The sequence below is a fragment of the Homo sapiens genome, chromosome 5 (assembly GCF_000001405.40).
Source record: "Homo sapiens chromosome 5, GRCh38.p14 Primary Assembly".
Classification (NCBI taxonomy): Eukaryota; Metazoa; Chordata; class Mammalia; order Primates; family Hominidae; genus Homo; species Homo sapiens.
This window is the reverse complement of record NC_000005.10, coordinates 727905-746273: the sequence shown is the minus strand read 5'-3', so window position 1 is coordinate 746273 and position 18369 is coordinate 727905. Positions and strand designations below refer to the sequence as shown.

General features: G+C 43.0%; 1 protein-coding gene across 15 annotated transcripts in view; it reads left to right on the top strand.

The window, feature by feature from the left end:
* The window catches only part of ZDHHC11B (zDHHC palmitoyltransferase 11B (putative)), a 74375-nt gene that overhangs the window by 38456 nt on the left and 17550 nt on the right, over window positions 1-18369 (top strand). For 7 of the 15 annotated variants that reach the window (XM_017010111.2, XM_017010110.2, XM_017010115.3 and 4 more), the window contains 5 exons: window positions 976-1091; window positions 4646-4680; window positions 12435-12522; window positions 13118-14312; window positions 15806-15840. In XM_017010111.2, the coding sequence (XP_016865600.1) occupies window positions 976-1091; window positions 4646-4680; window positions 12435-12522; window positions 13118-13267 (389 nt within the window). In that variant the 3' untranslated portion in view covers window positions 13268-14312; window positions 15806-15840. Of the gene's footprint in view, window positions 1-975; window positions 1092-4645; window positions 4681-12434; window positions 12523-13117; window positions 14313-15805; window positions 15841-18369 lie in introns of those variants that run through there. The other 8 variants (NR_147096.2, NR_147095.2, XM_017010116.3 and 5 more) reach the window with 4 other exon arrangements.

The window sequence follows — 18369 nt, the reverse complement described above, 5'->3', positions numbered from 1 at the left end:
CTCCTCACTGCAAATAGGCCTCTGTGGGCGGCCGCCCCAGTCTCCAGAAATAGTCACAAGACATCGGCTCTCACGGTGTTGGTGTTTAGGGAAAGAAGCATGGAGAGTTTGGCCCCTCCATGGAAGCTCGTGGCTGAAATAGGTGCAGAGCCCATTTTATTAACGTTTGTTAAGACGGCTCTTTTAGATAAACGGGTGTATCAGGTTTTGCTTTGCTTCCCTGGGCTGCTTTGCTGCCTGCAGGACAGGCCAGGTGGATAGGGCTCTGGCCGGCCTGCTGAGCTGTCCTGTGGGCACTGCGCAGGGCTACAGGGATGGTGACCTGTCTCAGCGCCATCAGAGGCTGTGCTGAGTGGCACTCACAGCACTCGTGTTCACCTCCTGGGCCTGGGGCTCTCAGCACGCTCAGGAGTGTGTGGTCCCAGGACCCGCTAGCCAGCACCTCGGGGTGGTCGCCCCACTGCGTGGTCCTCCGACTGTGGGGTCTCTGTGCATCCCCCAAGGTGCGCCCCACCCAGTGTCCAGATGTGGGGAACCCCACAGGCCACCTGGACCCTCAGACAGAGCGGCCCCTCCTGAGCTGGCCTCTTACCCCTGCCAGCAATCCCAGGGCATCTGGAGCAACCTCTCAGGCTGCATGGTATAGGGGACCCAGGTCTGTGAGAGACAGCTCATCTCTGACACCACTAACAATGCAGCTCAATGAGGCCTTGGCAGGCGGGGGGGCCTGAGTCAGCACCGTTCCCCAGGTCGCAGCTGCAGACCCCTCCTGCTGACCATCAGCTAGCTGCAGACCTGGGCCCACAAGGCATCTGCACTCATCCTGACCTCACAGGGCCTGCATGGTGGGCGGAGCAGTTCTCCCTGTGCAGGGGCCGGATCAGTGGCACTGGCCACCCTGCTGAGCTGTCCTGTGGGCGCCGTGCAAAGCCGCAGGGCTGGTAACTTGTCCTGTTCCTCCTTTTCCCTTTCCAGAGGCCAAGAAGATGACCACCTTTGAGTATCTCATTAATACCCGCAAAGAAGAGAGTTCAAAACATCAAGCAGTGAGGAAAGATCCATACGTGCAAATGGACAAAGGATTTCTCCAGGTACCACCTGTCTCTCTGCTCCTTTTCTCCAGGCCTGGGACAATGTCTAAGGTCACTCGGTGGTTGGGACCTCTCAGCCATGCTCCTTTACTTCAGGGCCGATGCAGCCCATGGACTCTGCTGTGTGTGTGTCTGTGTGTGAGGCTCTGTGCATGGGTGTGTCTATGTGTCTTTGTGAACATAAACACCAGTCATGCACCACGGACTTCCTAGTGCAAAGATAGGAAAGGAACTGAGTCTCCTGGACATTTCTATACTGCACTATACATCTTCCAAAGTTGAAATGTGCTTTTTGCATCTTTTTTTTTTTTTGAGACAGAGTCTCGCTCTGTTGCCCAGGGTGGAGTGAAGTGGTGAAACCTCAGCTCATTGTAGCCGCCACCTCCTGGGTTCAAACAGTTTGCCTACCTCAGCCTCCCAAGTAGCTGGGATCGCAGATGTATGCCACTACGCCCCACTAATTTTTGTATTTTTAGTAGAGACGTGGTTTTGACATGCCAGGCTGGTCTCAAACTTCTGGCCTCAGGTGATCCGCCCGCCTTGGCCTCCGAAAGTGCTGGGATTACAAGCATGAGCCACCGTACCTGGCCTGAAACATGATTTTTAACTTAAGGAAGTTAGTTCCCTTTCCGGTTAAGTGACATGAATTATTATAACTAACTCAAGAAGACATAGAAAGTCTAAATAGACATAGAACAGCCAAGAGACTAAACTACTAATTTAAAATCTCCCAGTGAAGAAAAATCCCAGGCCCTGTAGTCTTCATGCATGAATTCCAGCAAAGATTTAAAGAAAAAATACAATACAACCTACACACAGACTCTTTCAGAAAACAGAGAAGGAAGCAACACTTCCCAACTCATTCAGCAATGCCACTATCAACCTGACACCAAAGCCAGATATTCGTAAGCCAATACATTCAGGAAACACAGGCAAAGATCACTGATAAGACCTTGGGAAACCAAATCGAGCAGCATGGGGCAGGACTGTGCACTGTGGCCAAGTGATATCACTCCAGGGGTGAGCAGTGCCTTAAGGCCTAGGAATCAATTACTACAGCTCAGCACCTTAGTCCAATAGAGAACGGTAACCACGCAATCATGCCAATCAATGCAGAAAAGGGTTTGTTAACAGCAAGTTCCCATTCATGATTTTTAACAAATCTCAGTGGCCTAGGAATGATAGGAAAGCACCCTGTGTACCTGACATGACATTTACTGGTGAAAGGCTGGTGACCCTCTCTTGGAGGTTCGGCACAGGTGATGACACCACTTCCTCCTACTTCTGACATTGCAGTCACATTCCGGCCAGCCCAGCGCAGCAGGGAAAATTAAGGCACACAGAATACAAAGTAAAACTGCGTTTATTTGCAGACGATGAAACCTAAAAAGTATGTTTTAAGACCTAGTTAAGATAATTAAATCACTTAACAAGGATGTGGGGCACATATTAAAATACACACTCGCACATCTCGATCCACCAGCAATGAAAACTCCGGGTTATATTTTTAAAACTTCCTTTCATAATCTAATGAAAAAAGAATAAATTTAACAAACCTTGGGCAAATATGTACACTGAAAGCTACACACCATGACTGAGAGAAGTCAGAGACGCTCTATTAAGTGAAAAGGTGTACAGCATTCATAGATTGGAAAAAAATACTATTAAAAGGGCAATTTTCCCCAAAACTTATCTACAGATTTACCACAATCCCTGCTGAACCCCAGCAGGCTTCTGTTTTAGCAGAAATTACAAGGTGGTCCTAAAATGTATATGCAAATTCAAAAGACCTAGGCTACTGTACTAGCCAAATGATTTTGAGAAAAAATAAAATTGGAGAACTTACACAACCAGACTTTAAATGTTACTATAAAGCTGTAACACTAAAGACAGGTGGCGCTGACATAGAGAGAGACATAAAGCTACAGTAATAAAAACAGTGTGGCGCCGACAGAGACAGATATAGAGAAATGGACCAGAAGAAAGGTCCAAAGTTAAAGCTTTCATTTATGGTCAATTGACTTTAAATAATGGTACTAAAATCATTAAATAGGGAGAAATTATAGTTCAGCAAGTGGTACTAGAACAATTGGATATCCACATGGAAAAGAAAAAAGAATGATTGAGTTCTTCATACCTGTACAAAGATTACCCAGGATCACTTCATTCCCCACAGAAGAATTAGCCCCAAATCCATCTGACACCTAAACTTAAAAGCTGAACATAGAACACTTCTAGAAACAAGCATAGAATGAAATCTCTGTGATCTTTAGTGAGACAAAGCTTGTCTTTGATCTGACACCAAAATCACTGCCTATTAAAGAAAAAAATCATAGTTTGGACTTTACCAAAATTGAAAATATTTGCTCTTCAAAAGTCACCATTAAGAAAATAAAAATACAGGCACACATGAGAGATACTGCAGGTTTGGTTTTAGAAAGCCACAATAAAGTGAACATGTCAGTAAAGCAAGTCACATGAATTTCTGGTTTCCCAGTGCTTATAAAAGTTACGTTTACATGACATGTGTGCAACAGTGTTATGTCTAAAAACTATGTATCTGAATTAAAAGTGCTTTACTGCTAAAAGCTGCTTACACAGACGCTTGAAGTGAGCACACACTGCGGGGAAAATGGCGCCGACATACTTGCTTGACCAGGGTCACCACAAACCCTCAATTTGTGAAAAAACAGTTTCTGTGAAGTGCAGTAAAGCAAAGCACAATAAAGCCAGGTGTTCATTCCTGTGCAAGCCACAGGCAAACAAAATATTTTCAAGTCTTAGACTGATGTCCGGAATACACAAAGACACAAAGAGCTTTCAAAGTGCAATTGTAAAAAAACAACAAACAAACAAAAACATAAACAAACAGAAAACCCAGTTTTTCAAATGGGCAAGAGGGCTGGACACAATGGGAAGCACCTATAATCTCAGTGCTTTGGGAGGCCAAGCAAGAGGATTGCTTGAGGCCAGGAGTTCAAGACCAGCCTGAACATCTCTACAAAAATAAATAAAAATACATACATACATATAAAAAATGGGCAAAAGATTTGAACAAACTCCTTACCAAGGTAGATGTAGATGTATAGATACATGGATGCTACATAAGCACATGGAAAAAAATGCTCAACATCATTCTACATCAGGCAGCTGCAAATAAAAACCACAATCAGATACTACCACACACCCAGGAGAATGCCTGTCATCAAAAAGACAGACACCACCGAGGGCTGGTGAAGTTGTAGAGAAATTGCAAGTCTCCTGCGTGGGAGTTAAATGAGGGTGTAAAGTGCCACCATATTGGAAAGCAGTTTGGCATTTCTTTAAAAGATAAATGTCTAATATATGACCAGAATCCCACTCCCAGTTTCTCACCAGAGAGAAATGAAAACACGTGCACACGTAAGTGGTTCTGAGATCTGAACTCAGGACCCAAGAGAACTCCAGGTACCATTCCTCAAAACCCAGGAATAATAGACGTGACTTTTATGTAAGAATCAGCTGCATGTCAACAACTTCTTTTTTCATGTGACGAATTTTCTTTTGCCCCACAGCAAGGAGCTGGCGCCCTGGGCTCATCTGCACAGGGGTAAGTTGCAAGCTTCCTGCAGTAGCTTGGTCCTTCTGAAGAATAGCTGTATTCTTTTCTTAACTCAAATGACTTTGGAAAATAATTCACCTATGATGAGACATTTTGAAATCATGGGATGATGCAGTAGAAGATAAAATAGTTTTGTTTAATGTTGTTAAATTATACCAAATTATCTATCTCGATGTGCTTGTCTTACTTGCAGAAACTACATTCTTCACTCCCTTCTTCATAACTAACATCTAAACTAACACACAAGAGTACGACCCGCTTATTTATTTCTACATCTCTCCATGAACATGTGGGTAGTTGTGAGTCTGAATGTATTTCTTATGATCTCTAATAGTGTTTCATAGACATTGTAAGCTCTGAGAGTCCAACCCATTCCTGAGTCAAGGTGCTAAGTAAATGGGAGCACTGGGGGTGCCTTGACCCGGAGCCCCACCCAACAGGGCCAGGGCTGGCTTCACAAACAGGGTTTCAAGAAGCGTCTTGGAGCTAGTGCTGTGCAGTGCGGTTCGTTTTATTTTGGAAGCTGAGAGTCAAAGGGCACGCGCATTTTCAATCTTCACAGACTCTCTGATGACTTCTCAAAAGGGTGGAGCAGTTCACACTTCATTCAACGCTGTCGCTCTTCTCACTATGAGATACTAACAGTATGCTTAGTTTTATTCAAAGAAAATATATAATGTTTTAATATGCATTTCCTTACTACAATTACGACAACATTTTTTCATGTTTTGACCATTTTACAATTTTTGTTGTGTGAATTAATGTTCAACAGTTGGGCTATTTGGATTATCAAACGTAACAGCTCTTTGCTTATTAGGAACCCTATGGGATCTTTCACAGTGTAGAGGTTGTGGACTTTTCTGAAGCCAAATTTGTTAACATTTCCTTTTGTCTTGCTTTAAAAAGGCGTCATTACTCTAAGGTTATACAAATATCCTCCAATACTCTTTGCTTATATAGTTATAACTTTTTTATTTTTATTTTTATTTTTTGAGATGGAATTTCACTCTGTCACCCAGGCTGGAGTGCAGTGGTGTGATCTCGGCTCACTGCAAGCTCCACTTCCCGGGTTCATGCCATTCTTCTGCCTCAGCCTCCCTAGTAGCTGGGACTACAGGCACCGGCCACCACACATGGCTAATTTTTTTGTTTGTTTGTTTTTTTAGTAGAGATGGGTTTCACCCTGTTAGCCAGGATGATCTCTATCTCCTGACCTCATGATCTGCCTGCCTTGGCCTCCCAAAGTGCTGGGATTACAGACGTGAGCCACCGCACCAGTCCTAGTTATAATTTTTATTTTTATTTTATTTCAATAGTTTTGGGGAACAAGGTGTTTGGTTGCATGGAAAAGATTTTTAGTGTTGATTTCTGAGATTTTGGTGCACCCACCACCCGAGCAATGTATACAGTACTCAATGTGTAGTCTTTTATCCATCACCCTCCTCCCACCACTCCCCCTGAGTCCCAAAAGCCCATTACATCATTCTTATGTCTTTGCATCCTCGTAGCTTAGCTCCCACTTATAAGTGAGATACTACGATGTTTGGTTTTTCATTCTTGAGTTACTTCACTTAGAATAATGGTCTGCAACTCCATCCAGGTTGTGTGAGTGCTGATATTTCATTCCTTTTTATGGCTGAGTAGTATTCCATGGTATTTACATATATACAGATCACAAATATATATCACATTTTCTTTATCCACTGATTTGTTTTAGGCTGGTTTCATATTTTTGCAATTGCAAACTATGCTGCTATAAACATGTGGGTGCAAGTATCTTTTTCATAAGATAACTTCTTTTCTTCTGGGTAGATAGCCAGTAGTGGGATTGCTAGATCAGATGATAGTTCTACCTTTAAGTTCTTTACAGAATCTCCGTACTGTTTTTTATAGTAGTTGTACTAGTTTACATTCCCACTAGCAGTGTAAAAGTGTTCCTTTTCACCACATCCATGCCAACATCTGTTATTTCTTTATTTTTTATATTATGGCCATTCTTCCAGGAGTAAGGTGGTATTGCATTGTGGATTTTATTTGCATTTCCCTGTTAATTAGTGATGTTCAGCATTTTTTCCTATGCTTGTTGGCCATTTGTATATCTTCTGTTGAGAACTGTCTCTTCATGAATGTTGCCCACTTTTTGATGGGATTGGTTTTGTTGTTTGTTTGTTTGTTTGTTTGTTTGAGACAGAGTCTCACTCTGTCACCCAGGCTGGAGTGCAGGGGCATGATCTTGGCTCGCTGAAGCCTCTGCCTCCTGGGTTGAAGCGATTCTCTTGCCTCAGGCTCCCAAGTACCTGGGATTACAGTCACCCACCAGCACGCCCAGCTAATTTTTGTGTCGTTAGCAGAGACAAGTTTCACCATGTTGGCCAGGCTGGTCTTGAACTCTTGACTTCAAGTGATCTGCCTGCCCCAGCCTCTGTAAGGACTGGGATTACAGACATGAGCCACCACACCCAATTGGATGATTTGTTTTTTTTTTGCGGATTTGTTTGAGTTCCTTTTAGATTCTGGATATTAGTCCTTTGTCAGAAGTACAGATTGTGAATATTTTCTTCCTATCCCTGGGTTCTATTTAGTCTGCTTATTACTTCTTTTCCTGTGCAGAAGGTACTTATTTAAAATAAAGATAAATTAAGATAAATTGCATCTATTTATCTTTGTTCTTGTTGCATTTGCTTTTGGATTCTTCGTCATGAGCTCTTTGCTGAAGTCAATGCCTAGAAAAGTTTTTCTGATGATATCTTGTAGATTTTGCTTTCAGGTCTTAAGTCTTTTATCCATCCTCAGCTGATGTTTGTAAAAGGTGTGAGGAGAGGATCCAGCTTCATTCTTCACATGTGGCTTGTGAATCATCCCAGCACCTTGTATTGAATAGGATGTCCTTTCCCCACTTGATGTCTTTTGTTTGTTGAAGATCGATTGGCAGTAAGTATTTGCCTTTATTTATGGGTTCTCTATTCTGTTCCATTGATCTACACACCTATTTCCATATTAGTTCCCTGCTGTTTTGGTAACTCTAGATTTGTAGTATAGTTTGAATTCAGGTAATGTGATGCCTCCAGATTTGTTCTTTTTGATTAGTCTTCCTTGGCTATCTGGGGTCTTTTTTGGTTCCATATGAATTTTAGGATTGTTTTTTCTAGTTCTGTGAAGAAAGATGATTCTGCTTTGAGGGGAATTGCATTGAATTTGTGGATTGCTTTGGCAGTATGGTCATTTTCACAATAGTAATTCTACCCATCTATGAGCCTGGGATGTGTTTCCATTTATTTGCGTTTTCTATGTTCACTTTCAGCAGGTTTTTGTAGTTTCCATGTAGAGATATTTCACCTTTTGTGTTAGGTATATTCCTAAGTTGTTTTTTTTTCTTTCACCTGTTGCAAAAGGGGTTGACTTATTCATTTGATTCGCAGCTTGGTCATTGTTGGCACATAGCAATGCTACTGATTTGTGTCCATTGATTTTGTATCCTGAAACTTTACTGAATTCATTTATCAGATTTAGAAGCTTTCTGGATGAGTATTTAGAGTTTTCTAGGTATACAACCATATCATCAGTGAACAGGGACAATTTGACTTCCTGTTTACCAATTTGGATGCTTTTTCTTTCTCTTCTCTGATTGCTCTGGCTAGATCTTCCAGTACTGTGTCGAAAGGAAGTGGTGAAAGTGGGCATCCTTGTCTTATTCCAGTTCTGAGGGGCAATGTTTTCAACTTTTCCCCATTCAGTATAATGTTGGCTGTGGGTTTGTCATAGAGGGCTTTTATTACCTTGAGGTATGTCCCTTCTGTGCTGATTTTGATGAGTGTTCTATTATAAAGGGATGGCAGAGTTTGTCAGATGCTTTTTCTGCATCTATTGAGATGATCTCTGATTTTTTGTTTTTAATTCTGTTTTTGTGATTTATCACATTTATTGACTTGCATATATTAAACCATTCCTGCATACGTGGTATGAAACCCACTTGACTATGGTGTTATTATCTTTTTGCTATGCTGTTTGATTCGGTTCGCTAGTATTTTGTTGAGGATTTTTGCATCTATATTCATGAGGGATATTGGTCTGTAGTTTTCTCTTTTTGCTATGTCCTTTCATGGTTTGGGTATTAAGGTGATACTGGCTTCATGGAACGATTTATGGACGATTCCCTCTTATCTTTTGTAATAGTTTCCATAAGATAGGTACCAGTCCTTCTTTGGATGCCTGGTAGAATTCAGCTGTGAATACATCCTGGATATTTTAGTTGGCAATTTTTTTATTACTGTTTCAATCTCGCTACTTGTTATTAATCTGTTACGAGTTTCTATTTCTTCCTGATTTAATCTAGTTGGGTTGTATATTTCCAGGAAGTTATCCATCTCCTCTGGATTTTCTAGTTTGTGTGCATAACGGTGTTCATATTGGCCTTAAATGATCTTTTGTATTCCTGTGGTATCAGTTGTGCTATCTCTCATTTCATTTCTAATTGAGCTTATTTGGATCTTTTCTTTTTTTGCTTAATGTTGCTAATGGTCAATCAATTTTGTTTGTGTTTTCAGAAAACTGGCTTTTTGATTTATCTTTTGTGGTTTTTTTGTTTTTTTGTTTGAATTTCATTTAGTTCTGCTCTGATGTTCGTTATTACTTTTCTTCTGTTGGGTTTGGGTTTGATTCGTTCTTGTTTCTCTGGTTACTTCAGGTGTGACTTTAGATTGTCTGTTTGTGCTCTTTCAGTCTTTTTGATGTGGCCATTTAATGCTGTGAACATTCCTTTAAACATCACTTTTGCTGTGTCCTTGAGGTTTTGATAAGTCATGCCACAGTTATTCAGTTTGAAGAACTTTTAAATTTCCCTCTGGATTTCATTGTCGACCCAAAGATCATTCAGAAGCAGTTATTTAATTTCTACATATTTGTGTAATTTCATGGGTTCCTTTTGGAGTTAATTATCAATTTATTCCCCTGTGGTCTGAAAAGATACTTGATGTAATTCTGACTTTCTTAAATTCATTGAAACTTGTTTTGTGGCCTATTATATGATGTATCTTGGAGAATTTTCCATGTACTGATGAAAAGAATGTACATTCTGCAGCTGTTGGGTAGAATGTTCTGTAAATATCTGTCAAGTCCTTTTGTTCTAGGATATAGTTTAAGGTCATTGTTTCTTTGTTGCCTTTCTGTCTTGATGACCTGTCTAGTGCTATCAGTGCAGTATTGTGTCCGTCACTATAATTGTGTTTTCATCAGTCTCATTTCTTATGTCCTGTAAGAATTGTTTTATAAATTTGGGGGGTTCCTCGTTAGGTGCATATATAGTTAGGATTGTGATATTTTTCCTTTTGGAGTGATTCTTTTATCATCGTATAGTGTTGCTCTTTGTCTTTCTTAACTGTTGTGGCTTTAAAGTCTGTTGAGTCTGGTATCAGAATAGTTCCTCCTGCCTGCTGTTGGTTTCCATTTGTATGGAATATCTTTTCTGCCACTTTACCTTAAGTTTATTTCAGTCCTTATACATTAGGTGTGTCTCTTGAAGACAGCAGATACTTGGTTGGTGGATTTTTCTCCATTCTTCCACTCTGTATTTTTTAGATGGTGCTTATAGGCCATTTACATTCAGTGTTAGCATTTGGATGTGAGGTACTGTTTTATTGATCATGCTAGTTGTTGCCTGAATACCTTGGTTTTTTAATTTGTGTTACTGTTTTCTCAGTCCTGTAAGATTTATGCTTTAAGGAGGTTCTGTTTTGGTGTATTTTGAGGTTTTGTTTTAAGATTTGGAACTCCTTTTAGTATTTCTTGTAGGACTGACTTGTTAGTGGCTAGTTCTCTCAGCATTTGTTGTTCTGAAACAGACATTTTTTCTACTTCATTTAGGAAACATAGTTTTGCTGAATACAAAATTATTGGCTGTTAATTATTTTGCTTGGAGAGGCTAGAGATAGGACCCCAATCCCTTCTAGTGTGTAGAGTTTCTGCTGAGAAATCTGCTGCTAATATGAGAGGTTTTCCTTTAGAGGTTACCTGATGTTTTGCCTCCCAGCTCTTAAGATTCTTTGATTTGTGTCGACTGTAGATAACCTGATGACCATGTGCCTCGGTGATGATCTTTTTGCAATGAATTTCCCAGGCATTCTTTGAGCTTCTTGTCTTTGGATGTCTAGAACTCTAGCAAGGCCAGGGAAGGTTTCCTTGATCATTTCCTCAAATAAGTTTTCCAAACTTGTGGATTTGTCTGCTTTGTCAGGAACACTATTTTTAGGTTTGGCTGTTTAACATAATCCCTAAGTTCCTGGAGGCTTTGTTCTTTTTTAAAATTATTTTTTTCCTCTTTGTCTGGCTGGGTTATTTAAAAAGCCTTGTTTTTGAGTTCTGAAGTTCTTTGTTCTACTTGTTAGATCCTGCTGTTGAAAGTTTCTGGTGCATTTTCCATTTCTCTTAGTGTGTCTTTTGTTCCAGAAGTTGTGACTGTGTTTTCTTTAGGATCTCTATTTCCCTGGAGCATTTTTCATCTATATCCTGTATTGATTTTTAAATTTCTTTAAGTTGGTTATCACCTGTCTTTGGTATCTCCTTGAGTAGTTTAATAATCAACCTTCTGAATTCTTTCCAGCAATTCTGATTTTCTTCTTGGTTTGGATCTCTCACTGGGGAGCTAGTGTGGTCTTTTGAGGGTGGAATAGAGCCCTGTTTCATGATATTACCAGGATTACTCGTCTGATTCCTTCTCATGTGTGTAGATTATTTCAGTGGGAAAATCTGGAACTCAAGGCTGCTGGTCAGATTCTTTAGTCCCATGGGGTGGTCCCTGATTTGTGCACTGCCCCTTCCCCTAGAGATGGAGCTTCCTGCAAACCAGACAGCAGTGATTGCTATTGTTCTTCTGGGTCTCTCCACCCAGCAGGGCTACCAGGCTGGTGCTGGGGAATGTCTGCACAGAGTCCTGTGATGTGATCCGTCCTCAGGTCTCCCAGCTGTGGATGCGAGCACCTGCTCCGGTGGAGGTGACAGGGGACCGAAGTGGACTCTGTGGAGGTCCTCGGCGGCCGATAGGTTTACTGTGCTGACTTTCTCAGAGGCTGGTTATTCTAGCAGTGAAGTTGTCACATGGGCAGACTCAGGACCTCTGGTTATCCAGGATGTTGCAGGAGGTGGAATAAGCTCTTGTTTTCTCCTTCCTAGGAGCAGGGTTGTTCTGTCATGAGTTGCTGTCATGTCCTGAGCTGATTGGCCTCCAGCCAGGAGGTGGCACTTTTGAGACAGCAGCGGAGTTGTCACCTGTTCTGTGGAATTTGCAGTGGCCTATGGCATCTTCCAAAGGCTCTGTGACTTTTTGTTTTTTCTGGTATGCTGCTGTGGTGGTTCCTGGAGTGAAAGGCCACAGTATGAGTCTCCACATGCTGTTCTGTCTCTCCATGTGGGAGCTGCATATCAGACCTGTCTCCCATCTGCCATCACTCTTCAGAACCCGTCTTAGGCACTGGTGTAGGGCAAGTCTCACACGGTGGGTGGAGGGACTGCTTTGCATTGTCCCAGTGGCAAAGAGTCATGGTCCTTTACACGAGAAGCTTCTTACGTGTGCCACTGCACATAACGCAGGAGTACTTAGACAACCTCCCAGGAGCTGCTGGTCTACAAGTTTTTGAGACATGTGTGCCCCACAGCAGTGGTGCTGACACGACGCGGTGCAGCCTCCAGTGCCACCCTGAGCCCCCCCACAAAGCTGAGATGAGTTTCTCTCCTCCTTCCTGTCCCACCAGAGTCAAGGCCAAGAGCTCCCTGCTGATTTACAAATGCCCATGTCACTTCTGCACTTCAGTAAACCAGGACGGGGATTCGAAGGCACAGGTAAGTTGCAGTCACCAGCAATGCACCCTGAGGACAGGGCCGTGTGCAGAATATGTGGTCTCGGGTCCCCCAAGCTGAGGTTAAGGCAGTATTCAGAATAGAAGCACTCTGTGTCCAAGGGTGCTGCTCACATGGGAATGATGGTGGGTGGAGCACAGAAGAGAGATGGAGTGAGAGGCAGGAATGCTTCCCAGCTGTGGGTGACAGAGACAGATGGGTACCAAAGTGGGAGCCCCCAGCACTGGAGCACCACCAAGAAGCTGCGGTGATGGGCAGATGCCCAGGGCAGGGTCTGAAGTGCCCAGAACATGCAGCGAGGGACAGTGCTGTGATAAAGGATGGAAGGAGATTGGTAGCCATGGCAGAAGCCACATGCTGTGTTTTTAAAATAAAATGCTCAGGAAGGACTGTGTGTGGGAGACAGATGGGAATAGACGATGTGTGTGTGGTCACACGTACAAGTGTATGGTGTGTGGTTGCACATATGTGGGGGGGTGTGGTTATGTGTGTGGTTTTGTGTGTAGTGTGTGGTCAGTTGTATATGTGTGTGAATGGTGTGTGTTTGTTACATGGACTCTGTGTCCATCCTTCACAGGAAAAGACCAGCGCGGCTGCCGGCTTTAGGGCCACATATTTCTGTTCCTGCTCTGGGGTCAGCTTCCAGTGGTTTCTGCTGGGTCATTATTTATTTTTTAGAGATGAGATCTCACTCCATCACCCAACATGGATGGCAGTGGTGGGATAATGGCTCACTGCAGCCTCCAACTCCTGGGCTCAAGCAATTGTCCCACCTCAGCCTCCCGAATAGCCGAAAGTACAGGTGTGTGCCACCACACCCAGCCAATTTATTTTTTGTTTTTTATTTCTTAAGAGATGGGATCTCACTCTCTTGTCCAGGCTTGTTTGGAACTTCTGGTCTCAAGTGATTCCCCAGGCTCAGGGGAATTAGAGGCGTGAGCCTCTAATAGCACAGGGATTAGAGGCGTGAGCCTCCATGCCAGGCCACAGGCTGGTCCTTTTGAGCAGGATTTGTGAGGGGGCCAGTTTCTGGAGGTTACAGGTGACTTGTCCTTCCCTGTGGGGGCAGGGCCGCCTCACCGCACTTCCCCAGGATTTCAGGGAACAGGCTCCTGTGACTTGGAAATGAAAATGGATCACCCAACCTGGAGGAACAGTGAGGCTGGTGTCCAAGACTTGCCCCTTGCCTGCACTTCCAGCAAAGATTTGGAGACACTCAGTGGAAACCAATCGAGCCCCCAGCCCACCCCCGCCCAGACTCAGCCACCAAAGTTCCCTCACTGCATGTGGCACACGGGCTCATGGGAGTTTCTCTGCCTGCGATTGTCCACGTTGACACCTTCTGCACAGGTGCATTTGTGAGTCCCCTCGGTGTCTCTGCAGCATCTATGTGTGGATGAATAGTGAAGCCACATGAGGCCTGGTCTGAAGCAGAGAAGATCCGCTCAGCATCACGTTGAATCCCAAGCCCGCATCTCCGTGGGCTCCAGGACAATCCTATGAAAATGACACCGTCGGTTCATTGTTCACATCGGGGAGGAGAATTCCGTCTGAAAATGAGCGTGACTTCACTGACACCCAAGTCCGTGGCACAGCCCTGTGCTGAGCTCCACAGACCTACAGTCCATCGCCTCCCCTTCGAGTGGGCCCAGGGCTGCAGACAGCATTGTCCAAAGAAGACACCCTGACTCGATGAATGGAACAAACTGGAAACTCCAGAAACAAGCCCTTCTTTACATTTCTGGTGTTTGGCCTAAATGGAAGGTGCCAAGGTGAGGCAATGGGGAGACATGGAAGGGTTTGTAATGACTGTGCTGCAGCAGCTGCATAACCACATGCCAAACACACACACACAGCTCAGTCCCACCTAGAAAGCAGTGCACAATCCATCAGAGACCTCATAGTAAGAGGGGGAAACTTTAACATTCCTACAAAAATCCTAGAATATCTCCGGAGTCTTGTGTTAGGCAAACTCTTCTTTGATAGATACCAAAAACACTATTTCACAAAACGGATACATTTGACTTTAAGCATTTAAAATTGTTTCTTCCATTGTCACCAGTAAAAGAATGAAAATATCAGCCACAGGCTGAAATAAAATATTTACAAGTCATATACTTTTATCCAGAATATTTAAAGAACCATGAAAACTCAAAAATACACAACAGCTCAGTTTTTAAATGGGTGAAAGATTGAACACGTTCTTCACCAAGGCAACAATATCCATGAGAAATAAAGCCCACAAAATGGTGCTCAACATCATTTGCCACCAGGGAACCACCAGCTAAAATCACAATAAGATACTGCTGCACCCCATTAGAGTAGCTGCAAGAAAGCAGATTAAGGGTACCATCCAGGCACAAAGCTTCACACCTGAAATCCCAGAGCTTTGGGTGGCCCACAAGGCAGGAGGATCCCTTGAGGCCAGGAGTTTGAGACCACTATGGGCAACATAGCAAGACCCTGCCTCTAAAAAATATAAATAAAAAAAGGTGATCAATATCAAGTGTTGGTGAAGAGTTTGGAGAACTGGAAGTCTCATCCATTGCTCATGGGGATGAAAGATGATGCCACATTGGCGAGCAGTTTGGCAAAGCTTCAGATGCTGAGCATGTACTTATCATATGAGCCAGCACTCCCACTCCCAGGTTCTTAACCAAGAGCACTGAGAACAACATGTGTGTGCACACATAGCAGGTGTTTTTCTTTGCTAGAGCTTCCACAAGCAGGAACCACACATGGGGCGTTGGAACAAGAAATGTATTTTCTCACATATCTGCAGGCTGGAAGTCCCAGAGCACAGTGTCTGCAGGGTTGGTTTCTCCCAAGGCCTCTCTCCTTGCCTTGTAGACGGCCACCTGTTCTCTGTGTCCTCTCACAGTCTTCCCTCTGTCTGTGTCTTTGTTATAATCTCCCCTTCATAAAAGGACACCAGTCACTCTGGATTAGGGCTCACTCTAGTAGCCTCATCTAACATCCATTACCTCTTTCAAGACCCTGTCTCCACATATAGTCACATTCTGAGGTACTGGGTGTCAGGATGTCAACCTATGAATTTGGAGGAGGATATAGTTCAGCCCATAATACAAGGATTGGGAGGAAGCGTGCTGTGCCACCACTGAGATCCTATTCCATGATCCAGGCATTCTTGAAGTACCATTACTCAGAACTGACTAGTAATGAACTTGAATTTTGTTTAAGAATAAGTTTAATGTCAACAAGGTCTTTGTTCATCCTAAGAATTTTGCTTCCCTTCCCCCCACAGGAAGCAGATGATGCCCCGAGTACATCTACACTTGGGTAAGTTCGTAAGTTTAATGGGAACGTTTTATCTGTCTGTACACTTGCCTGAACTCAAATTACCTAGGAAAATATGTTCTCTATTTAACATGTTCAAATATTCTGATGACATAAGGGAAAGTAGAAATGCTTCACTGAACATTTATAGCCATTCATGTGGCTTATTGCACTGATCTTACTTGAAAAAATTATAGAATTCTTTATAACTAACATTTGAACTTACGCACAAAAATAAGGCCAAGCGTAGTTATTTTCTTTCTTTAAACACATGTAATGTTGTGAGCCTGAATGTTTTTTAATGTTTCTAATAGTGTTTCATTGAGAGTCAGATCTTGTCATTTCAACTCTAAATACATCCACTGATGACAGCTCTGCCCCAACACTGCACAATTCCAGCCCAACTGCACACCACTTTTTCACCCTCCAAACTAAAAAGCTGAAAGAAGACCCTTATAAAGAGGACCATGATCCAGTTTTAAGCACACATTCTAAAGGGTACCCTGTTCCCGTGATGAAATAAAATTGTACAGCCATGACAAATGCATATTCTTCCCAGAGAATCTCAAGTACAGGATACACTTCTCACAGAACATAGAGTAATAGGAAATCTACTCACACATGATGCTGAGTAAGTTATTTACTCCTTGTTTGCTATTGCATTTTCCTTTCCATAAAATGAACATATATTAACTTTATATTTTGAAAAGCAGCTTTATACAACATTTTCCAGAGTTTTAGGGTTTAGATATTGCGCTCCTACACTCTACTAAAGTTTCATCTAGAACCATTTAATACAACCTAAAAGAAAATGAAGTGGAAAGGTAAGAGTCATTGGCTCAAACCACCCCAGGTGCACAGACACAGGCATGTGCACACACACACACTCGCACACAGTCACACTCTCTCACACTGACACAGCCTCCTTCCTGCCTTCACCTCACATCTCAGTCCCCAGCCTGCCTGCCATATTCCTCCCATCACTGCAGGGAGTCCCAGCCGGCCCCACAGGGGAAGCCCCCGCCCCAGCCTGCACAGAACAGCCCCGTGCTCTCTGGGCACACAGCAGCTGCAGCCGTCCTGGCCTAGGACCTCTGGGGTCTCTGCCACCATTCCAGTAGGTCATGCTGCTCAGGGGGGCCAGATGGCCAAACCAGGTAGGGCCCAGTGGACATAAGCCCAGTGACACGGCCGACATTATTCAGGGAGGGTGTGTGAGGGAGGCTGCTCGTGCTGGGAAGAAGGAGCACCCACACCTCATGGCTCGGAGCTGCTTGGGGTTCCTCTAGAGGCACCTGGGACCCCAGACTGCTGAGGTCACCGCATGCCTCCCGGTCTCCCCCTCACAGATGAGTGCACCCAGCTGGCCTCATCCTCCCAACCCAGCTGCCCTGGATCATGGAGCAACATTTTTTTTTTTTTTTGAGACAGGGTCTTTCTCTGTCACCCAGGCTGCAGTGCAGTGGCACAATCTCAGCTCACTACAACCTTTGCCACTTGGATTCTTGCAGTCCACCCACCTCAGCCTCCCAAGTAGCTGGGACCACAGGCTCATGCCACCACGCTGAGCCAACTTTTGTAGAGATGGGGTGTCACCATGTTGCCCACACTGGTCTCGAACTCCTGAGCTCAAGCTATTTGCCTGCCTCAGCCTCCTAAAGTGTTGGGACTACAGACATGAGTCACTGTGTCTGGCCATGGAGCAACATTTAGATGGGGGAGAATTTAATACCTAACTTATACTCAGAACTTATAACCTTATTACATGCTGATTGTATCAGTTTGAAGATGATAGTATAGGTTAAAAATATTCTGCACCTCCCTTCCTGAATTTTAATTTCTTCAACAATATGGCATAGATTACACTCATGACGTTTCATATAGATGTGTTTTATTCTTGTCAGGAAATTCACCCTCTCATGATGTGCATATACCGTGGCTTAGTCAACCATTGTTCACTACAGGATATTAAGTTTATGACCAAGTTTAGGTTTTGCAAACAAAATTGCAAGAAGCACCTTTGTGCCAAGGTTGTCAGATACTGACAATATTGTTTTGTTTCTGTAGAACACTTAAAAGTCAAAGGGCATTTGCATTTTAAATCCTCATAGTTTCTTTTTGCTTACTTTACCAAAAGGTTTAAACAATGCAAATTTCCTTCAATTTCCTCACTCTTTTCAGCACCAGATATTAGCAAGGTATTTTTAGTTTTATCCAAATAACACTTTTAATTGTTTCAATGTGCATTTTCCTTATTACTAATGAGACTGAACACATTGTCATTCTCTTTTTTACTGTTTCACAGTTCCTCTTGTATGAATTAGCTTTTCAAATGTTTGCACACTTTTAAATGGAGTTGTTTGTATTGTCGATATTAAGTGCTCTTTGCACATTAGGGATAGTAATTCTCTGATCTGTGTGTTTCCAACGTATTTCTTTCAGTCTGTCTTTTAAAATTTTGTGTTTATCGTGTCTTTTGCAACGTGAAGTTCATAAATTTTTGTGAAGTCAGTTGTCAAATGTTCCTGTCTT